The 9,085-nt window shown below is 42.0% G+C and overlaps 1 protein-coding gene across 4 annotated transcripts in view; it reads left to right on the forward strand.

Moving 5' to 3' along the window:
* The window catches only part of CCDC77 (coiled-coil domain containing 77), a 53,296-nt gene extending 44,426 nt beyond the window's left edge, over window positions 1–8,870 (forward strand). For all 4 annotated transcript variants that reach the window (NM_001130147.2, NM_001130148.2, NM_032358.4 and 1 more), the window contains 4 exons: window positions 4,563–4,782; window positions 6,845–6,970; window positions 7,072–7,224; window positions 8,002–8,870. In NM_001130147.2, the coding sequence (NP_001123619.1) occupies window positions 4,563–4,782; window positions 6,845–6,970; window positions 7,072–7,224; window positions 8,002–8,148 (646 nt within the window). In that variant the 3' untranslated portion in view covers window positions 8,149–8,870. The remainder of the gene's footprint in view (window positions 1–4,562; window positions 4,783–6,844; window positions 6,971–7,071; window positions 7,225–8,001) is intronic.
* The last annotated feature ends 215 nt before the right edge of the window (window positions 8,871–9,085 follow it).

Consider the following 9,085-nt stretch of genomic DNA (forward strand, 5'->3'; position numbering starts at 1 on the left):
AAACTGCACACTCAGTATTTTAATCAGAACTCTGCCGGTGCTTTTATCTAGAGACATGTTATCATTTTTGGCTTCTATGAAATTTTTGTCCCAAGAAAGGCAGGATTATATTTTTTTCTAACAGATTGAGTTGGTGTAGTGTATTCTTGGTTATCAAAATACTCATATAGCTTTGGGATTTTGAATTGGTAAATATCTATGATGTGTGAAACAGCATGATACATACTGTACGATCTCAAGCCCATAAAATTGGATGTTGTGTCTACACACACGCAGGACGTAGAACGTCCTGTAAACTTTACAGTTTACAAACTGTAAAGTGCTTCTGATTGTGGATGACTTTGTTCTTTGCTTCTTGTGTGTTTTAGTTTCCTATAATGCACATACTTTAAAAAAAAAAGGTTATTTTTAAAATCTGAAAAAATAAAAACAAAAAATGGCAAACTCTGTCCTCATTGTTTTTGTTCCTAACCTGCTTACCTTTCTTTACCTGTCTGCAGTCTGACTTCATCCCCACCATTTTACTAAACATGCCCTTTCTGGGGTTCTGGGGTCACCATTGACCTCTTAACTTTTCTTTCTTTTTTTTTTTTTTTTGGAGACTAAGTCTCACTCTGTCGCCCAGGCTGGAGTGCAGTGGCGTGATCCCGGTTCCCTGCAACCGCTGCCTCCCAGGTTCAAGCGATTCTCCTGCCTCAGCCTTCCAAGTAGCTGTGATTACAGGCATGTGCCACCACACCCAGCTAATTTTGTATATTTAGTAGAGACGGGGTGTCACTGTGTTAGCCAGGCTGATCTAGAACTCCCAATCTCTGGTGGTCCACCCGCCTCAGCCTCCCAAAGTGCTGGGATTACAGGCATGAGCCACCACGCCTGGCCTACCTCTTAACTTCTGAGACCAGTTATATCTCTTCAGTTCAGTCCTTATTATACTTAGTATCTTCCTGCATGTTTGGCATCACTGATCAGCCCCTCCTTGTAATTCATTTCCCTTGATTTCTGCAGCACCTGTCTTTCTTGGTTCTTCTACCTATCTAACCCCTTCACCCTTTTGCCTGGTTCCAGTGGCCAGACCTATGCCATAAGGACATCCTCAGTTGAATGTGTTTGAGCATGTCAGATTTACCATTACTGAAACCACGCTGTTGTTTCTCCCAACAAATGCTCCCATCCCCGTCTCAAACCTACTTTTCTGTTTTTCATCTAGTTTCATGGTATCACATGTATTCCGTTTCCAAATGCTCCCATCCCCGTCTCAAGCCTACTTCTTTCTGTGTTTCATCTAGTTTCATGGTATCACATGTATTCCGTTTCCAAATGCTCCCATCCCCGTCTCAAGCCTACTTCTTTCTGTTTTTCATCTAGTTTCATGGTATCACATGTATTCCATTTCCAAATGCTCCCATCCCCGTCTCAAGCCTACTTCTTTCTGTGTTTCATCTAGTTTCATGGTATCACATGTATTCCGTTTCCAAATGCTCCCATCCCCGTCTCAAGCCTACTTCTTTCTGTGTTTCATCTAGTTTCATGGTATCTCATGTATTCCGTTTCCAAATGCTCCCATCCCCGTCTCAAGCCTACTTCTTTCTGTGTTTCATCTAGTTTCATGGTATCACATGTATTCCGTTTCCCAAGCTTGAAACCACAGGATCATCTTCAACTCTTAACTTTCTTATTCCTTAATTCCAAACCCTATGAATTATAAGCCTAAAAACCCCCTCAAGTCCATTCTCTGCTCTCTGATATAGGCAGTTCTACATGGAGCACAACATACACAAAAGCAAAGCTGTTTTTGATACTACAGAACTTGTGTTAACTTGTCAGAACTCCACAACTTAGTACTTCCTTGTCTTATTCCTAGGAATGGTCCATACTTATGCAGGCTATGTGTAAATATCCCTGTAGTCCTTCTAATCATATAACCCGAAGTTAGCACTCAGGAAAATATCTCCTGTCTGATTGTTTTGTTTCATTTTTTCCAGTAAAGACAGGGTCTTACCCTGTTGCCCAGGCTGGAGTGCAGTGGTGTGATCATAGCTTACTGCAGCCTTGAACTCCTGGGCGCAAGCAATCCTCCTGCCTCAGCCTTCCAAGTCGCTAGGATTACAGGTGCATACCACCAAACCTGGTTTATTTTTATTATTTTTTGTAGAGATGGGGTCTTGCTATATTGCCCAGGCTAGTCTCAAACTCCTGGTTTCAAGCAATCCTCTCACCTCAGCCTCCTGAAGCACTGAGATTACAGACATGAGCCACTGTGCCCAGCCTTGCACTCTCATTCTTAGTACATTAATTCAAACTCTATTCCTTTGTTTAAATTGTTCCTATTGCTGATCCTTTGTCTTTTTTTTTTTTTTTTTTTTGAGACAGAGTCTCGCTGTGTCGTCCAGGCTGGAGTGCAGTGGCACAATCTCGGCTCACTGCAAGCTCCGCCTCCCGGGTTCATGCCATTCTCCTGCCTCAGCCTCCTGAGTAGCTGGGACTACAGGCGCCCACCACCACGCCCGGCTAATTTTTTTTTTTTAATTGTATTTTTAGTAGAGACAAGGTTTCACCGTGTTAGCCAGGATGGTCTCGATCTGACCTCGTGATCTGCCCGCCTCGGCCTCCCAAAGTGCTGGGATTTCCTTCTTAGTAGAGACAGGGTTTCACCATGTTGGCCAAGCTGGTCTCGATCCTGACCTCAGGTAACCTGCCCACCTCAGCCTCCCAAAGTGTTGGGATTACAGGCGGGAGCCATCGCGCCCGGTCTGCTATGTTTCTTTTAACATAGTATAATGTGTTTGCATTTGGCCAGTATTTCTCCACCTTCATTTTTATTTTTAGTATTTTTGCACTTAAGTATAGCATCTTGACATTTCAATGGGTTTTGTTTTTAAGGAACAGATATTTTAATATTGTCATAGTAATTTGTAATTTTATATCTGTTTTCCAGAATACCAGTAACCTTCCTTGTTTAGCGTTATCTGCATATCTGAGCACATGATCGGTTCCTTCCATTAGATGGATCTTCCTAAGAAGGGCATGAAATCCAGGGCCGTTAATGACTGCCCTTTGGGTATCACTTTCAAGCTACTTGTATTTTAACAAGCCTATAGTTTCCCAGTTTGAGATTGAGAAGATAATGTAAGACAGAATAAAATAACTCATTGAAAGTGAGAGAGACCCTTGTGGTAATTGAATCAATCTCTCTCTACATACACATGCACACATACCTGACTGTATATATTCACCTTGTGACATTTACTCTACTGTGTGCTTGGCACTCTGCTGTCATTTCCTCTTATCTGTGCACTCTGTTACTCATGAAAATAAGTGGATCTCACATTATTTGTTTGGTAGAAAAATACAGTGATTGCTTCATGGTATTTAATACTCTTGCAAGCAGCCAGATCATTCAGTATAGCATTTTTCTGGGTGGTAATGTTAAACTGATGAGTTGCTAACTTCCAGGGATATTGTTTTTTAAAGATAGAGACGTTGTCTATTCCTAAATTTCAGGAAATAGTCACCATGAATCTGTTAACTGCCTGTGTATGTCCAGTAGTTAGTATTATCCTTGACAATCTCATGGCATTGGGGCAAAAATAATAAATAAGGTATATGCTTTCACTCAGGCTGGGAAAAAGTGCATGTTGACAGTTAAAATATGACAGATGAGCAAGTGTTGAATTATAAGACAAGGGAACATTAACCTGGGATGGAGTTTCAGAGAATGGAGGAATTAAAATAGGCTAAAGTTGTTGGAAATGACTTCATACAGGAAGTTGATTTTTAAAAAAGTAGGCCAGGTGCAGTGGTTCACACTTGTAATCCCAGTATTTTGGGAGGCTGGGGCGAGAGGAGTGTATGAGCCCAGGAGTTCCAGACCAGACAAGCCTAAGGAACATAGCAAGACCCCATCTCCACACACACACAAATTTTTAATGAGCTGGCAAACACCCTGGGAGGTGGTCCCAGCTGCTTAGGAGGCTGAGACAGAAGGATTGCTTGAGCCCAGAAGGTCAGGGCTGCTGTGAGCTGTGATCGTGCCTCTGCACTCCAACCTACGTGACAGAGCAAGACCCTGTCTTAAAAAAAAAAAAAAAAAAAAGTTCTTTTTAAAATAAACAAAGGATAAGATTTTGATATAGGCAGTTCTACATGGAGCACAGCATACACAAAAGCAAAGCTGTTTTTGATACTATAGAATTTGTATTAACTTGTCAGAACACCGTGATTTAGTTCTTCCTTGTCTTATTCCTAGGAATGGTCCATAGTTAACGCAGGCTATGTGTAAATATCCCTGTAGTCCTTCTAATCATATAATCTGAAGTTCGCACTCAGGAAAGTACCTGTAAAGACCAGTCTATGAACCAGTGAGCATGGGTAGATACATTATACTTTACCCAGTAAAACATGTAAGATTGCCAGTGATCAGATTTTTAAACCTGCTAATATTTTACAAAATTTATATATCACACCATTTTAAAAGAACCACTCTCTTCCATTTTGGAATAATCCTTGCTTTCAGGTGTGCTGTGTGCGCATCCTCATGTCTGCATTTATACTTTCTTTCCTAGTCTTCACCACACCCAAGAACTGCTCTATGAGAGCACCAAAGATTTTCTGCAACTCAGATCTGAAAACCAAAATAAAGAGAAGTCATGGATGCTTGAAAAAGATAATTTGATGTCAAAGATTAAGCAATATAGGGTGCAGTGTAAGAAGAAAGAAGATAAAATTGGAAAAGTGTTGCCCGTTATGCATGAGAGTCACCATGCTCAAAGTGAATATATTAAGGTAATGTCCTTATGTCGTAACGAAGTTGTTTATTTTTCTGGGAGAGTTGAAGGAATTCCAAAGAACCTACAATTTGTAATGTAAGATCCATTCAGTCCAGGAAGCTCTGGTAGCAGCTGCCTCAAGAACTAGGTTTCAAAGAGCAGCTGATCGTTGTAGTATTTGGGGATTCAAAATATTAGACTTGTTGATTCATTCATTCATTCATTCAACAAATATTTATTGTACTCCTGGCCGGGCACAGTGGTTCACGCCTGTAATCCCAGCACTTTGGGAGGCCTAGGTGGGCAAATCGTGAGGTCAGGAGTTCAAGACCAGCCTGGCCAACATGGTGAAACCCCGTCTCTACTAAAAATACAAAAAAAAAAAAAAAATTAGCTGAGCATGATGGTGGGTGCCTGTAATCCCAGCTACTTGGGAGGCTGAGGCAGGAGAATTGCTTGAACCCGGGAGGCAGAAGTTGCAGTCAGCCGAGACTGTGCCACTGCACTCCAGCCCCGATGACAGTGCGAGACTGTGTCTCAAAACAAACACAAAAAAACATAAATATTTATTGCACTCGTACTATGGGTTAGGCCCTAGAGTTACAGTAATCTAAACAAGGTCTTCCCTCATGGTGTTTACATTTTAATGGGTGAGAAAAAACAGAAACATTAGCAAATAACTAAGAAAATTATAGATTAGGCCAGACGCGATGGCTCACACCTGTAATCCCAGCACTTTGGGAGGCCAAGGCGGGTGGATCACCTGAGGTCAGGAGTTCGAGACCAGCCTGACCAACATGGTGAAACCCCGTCTCTACTGAAAATATAAAAATTGGTGGGGCGTGGTGGTGGGCACCTGTAATCCCAGTTACTCGGGAGGCTGAGGCAGGAGAATCACCTGAACCCGGGAGGCAGAGGTTGCAGTGAGCTGAGATCATGCGATTGTACTCCAGCCTGGGCGACAGAGTGGGACTCCATCTCAAAAAAAAAAAAGGACTTTGGGAGGCAGAGGTGGGTGGATCACGAGGTCAGGAGTTCGAGAGCAGCCTTGCCAGCACAGCGGAACCCTGTCTCTACCAAAAATATAAAAAAATAGCCAGGCGTGGTGGCGGACACCTGTAATCCCAGCTACTTGAGAGGCTGAGGCAGGAGAATTGCTTGAACCTGGGAGGCAGAGGTTGCAGTGAGCCGAGATCGCGCCACTGCACTCCAGCCCAGTGACAGAGCAAGGACTCCGTCTCAGAAAAAAAAAAAGAAAAAATTATAGATTATAAAATGCGGTATTAAGGGAATAAAAGAATTACATGAAAATTATATGTAGTTGCTGGAAGTCCATTGTATTAATAGAAGGAATGCACAGGGACACTCTCTTATATCTAGTGTTTCTGCTGAGACCTGAAAAATGGGACTAAGCTTGCCATACAGACCTTGAGGAAGAACATTCCTGGCAGAGGGAAGAGCAAGTTTATAGGCCCTGGAGTATGTTCAAGGAAATGGAAGGCTGTCATCATGGTTGTAGAGGAATAAATAAGGAGGAAGTGGTATGCTCTTTAAGAAGCCAGCATTGGCAGCAGCCAGTTGTGGAGGGCCTTGTGCATCATCGTATGGAGTGTGAACTTAGCTCTCAATAGTGTTATGTATTTGAAGGGTTGTGTGAAATAAGTAACATGATCTGATTTGGGTTTTTAAAAGATCATTTTAACTGCTCAATAGGGCATGTATAATAAGCGTTGTTGTTAATATTTCTTCCTTTTTAAAGAAGAACTTTAGAAATGTAGCCCAAAACATATATTGTAATGTCTTCCTTGGGACAGCTTCTGAGCTCCGTTATCTGAGTCTTCCCAGAGCCAAAAATATTTGTTTTAATTTTTACTGTGTACACTTTAGAAAAAGGGCTTAAGAGACTGGTCTAGAAGTAGATTTTCAGATGTTCCTCAAAGTTCCTTGTCATCTGGTTCCTTAACTCATTTTGTACCTCTGGAAATCCCTTCTTTTCTTTCTTTCTTTGCCTAAAAGCTACTTGAATTACCTGAATTGTAGAACTGAGTGTTAATGTTTTTTGTCCCTTTGACTTGTAGTCCCTAAAAGATAAGTTAGTACAAGAGAAAAAGCTGTCCAATATGTACCAAGAGCAGTGCATTTCCTTAGAAGAAGAACTTGCCCGAATTCGTGAGGAAGAGGGAATGAGGAGAGAGATCTTCAAGGTACGAAATTATCTGCCACTTGTAATGGAATAGGAAGTGCAGATGGCTGGGGAAGACGCTTCCCTCACCTTCGTAAATGCCTTCCCATTCCCCATATTTAGGATCGCACTAACAAGATGGGGAAGCGTTTACAGATAATGACAAAACGCTATGAGGCATTGGAGCGTCGACGTATCCTGGAAGTAGAAGGCTTTAAGACAGATATTAAAGTTCTCCGACAGAAACTGAAAGACTTGGAGCAAATGTTGTATAAGGTAATTGCTGGTCCTGAATTGCCACGAGGGAGAGAAGAGGTGTAAGTGAGGGAACATGGTCACGAGGGCCCCTGAAAAGAAGGATGTGCTGTTTCCCTGCTGGTAAACACTAACAGATCACCATCTTCAAGCCTCCCTGAAAATTAGTTCAAGAACATGCTAGAGGGAAAATAAAAAGACCCTGAAATCATTGAACGACTGCATCATTCATACTTCGATGTAAGCTAAACAGATTGTCATCCCTCCTAATTCAAGAAGTAGATTAAAGAATCGTGTCTGTCTTACAGTTGGGGAGGGTGAGTAATTGAGTGATAGAGTACTTTTTTCCAGCAGACACAGTTCTTTAGAATACAAGTCGCCTCAAGAGTCTTCTTAATGAGATTTAGCCAGTTAGCCTGTGTTCCAGACAAGGTTAGTTGCAGAAAAGAGGAGACGCCTGCTTTCATTCTGTGACAAACTTACCAGTAGTGTTGCGCTTTCATTCTGTGACAAACTTACCAGTAGTGTCGCTTATCCTGGCCTCTCTTACTCCTCTTTCATGGTGCATTGATCTCTACCTCAAGCCTCCTTTATTGCATGGGAAGGATTTTCATGAGATTTCTGCCTTAATTCTACATTTTCCTTCTTTAGTTAGCCACTGAACAAAGGATGGAATTTATCCTATGTACTCAAAATCTCACAAAAAGGAGCTAGCATAGCTGTGTCTTTTTGACTGATATCGCTCCCCTGGCATATGCCATCATCATTTCTTTTTTTTTTTTTTTTTCAAACCCCTAGGCAACAGTTAATGCCCGGGCAAACCAGGATCTTGCCCTTCTGTGTGAGGTCCGTGACAGCAATAGACGGGCACATAAGATACAAGGAGAACTGAAGAATCTTAAGTCGAAAGTGTTTGGTCTGGAGAATGAACTTAGACTCTGTTAATGTCTACTTTTGGAAATGGCCCCCATTTAGAAGAGGTGTGCTTCTTGAAACCTGAGGACAAGGTCATCTGCTGCCAGAAAATGTAAACCTGAGTTGACTAGAGTGGTGGTATTCATTATTGTAAAGACAGCTTGAAGAATCGGGGACCACTAGGAAAGCTTTTCTTGCATACTCAGCTTGCTTTATCATTTTTGCTGTCCTTTTAACACTTGCGAGGAGTAGGGGCCTGGTCCTGAATGACTTGGAGGCTTTCATTATTTATCCTGTCTGTATTGACCGGTTTTTGTTTTTTCAGAAGGCAGTGATGATGAAAACTTAGGAAGAAGGTATTTTGCAATAAGCTTGGCTGAGTGTCCATGGGAAGAATACTTTCCCTAAAGAGAGAGAAGCACTCACAGAGGCTGCCTTTCTCCTGAGCTCGGGGAGAAGGCAGCACATCACAACCTGTCACATTGAAATAGGCGCTCATTCTGCTATTTCACCTTCCGTCCTGAGCAGAGCCTGAATTACGTTTTTGGGCAATTTCATGGTGTTTCACCAGAGGGCGCTAGAGACTCAAACGAAATGTCCATCTGGAAAGATTCGGGAGACACTTTGCCGAGGGGATGAAGCTGAGATGATGCTTGTATGGAAAGTTTGATATTTTTATCAGTCACATGGCTTTTGAAAAATGATGTATATATTTTAAATTAACTATTTTCAATAAAATATTTCACTCAAAAGATTTTCTTTGAGTTTTCTGTAACTTCTTCTCAATACTATATTTATGCTTCGTTAATGACTCACGCAGCTCAGTTTACGTTCTTGTCCCATGGCCTCTGCAGTTTTGTGCAAGTGTACAAGGTTTTTTGGGGGGTTTTTGAGACAGTTTCACTCTCGTCACCCAGGCTGGAGTGCAGTGGCGTGATCTCGGTCCACTGCAGCCTCCGCCTCCCGG

The sequence above is a fragment of the Homo sapiens genome, chromosome 12 (genome assembly GCF_000001405.40).
Source record: "Homo sapiens chromosome 12, GRCh38.p14 Primary Assembly".
NCBI classification, from domain to species: Eukaryota; Metazoa; Chordata; class Mammalia; order Primates; family Hominidae; genus Homo; species Homo sapiens.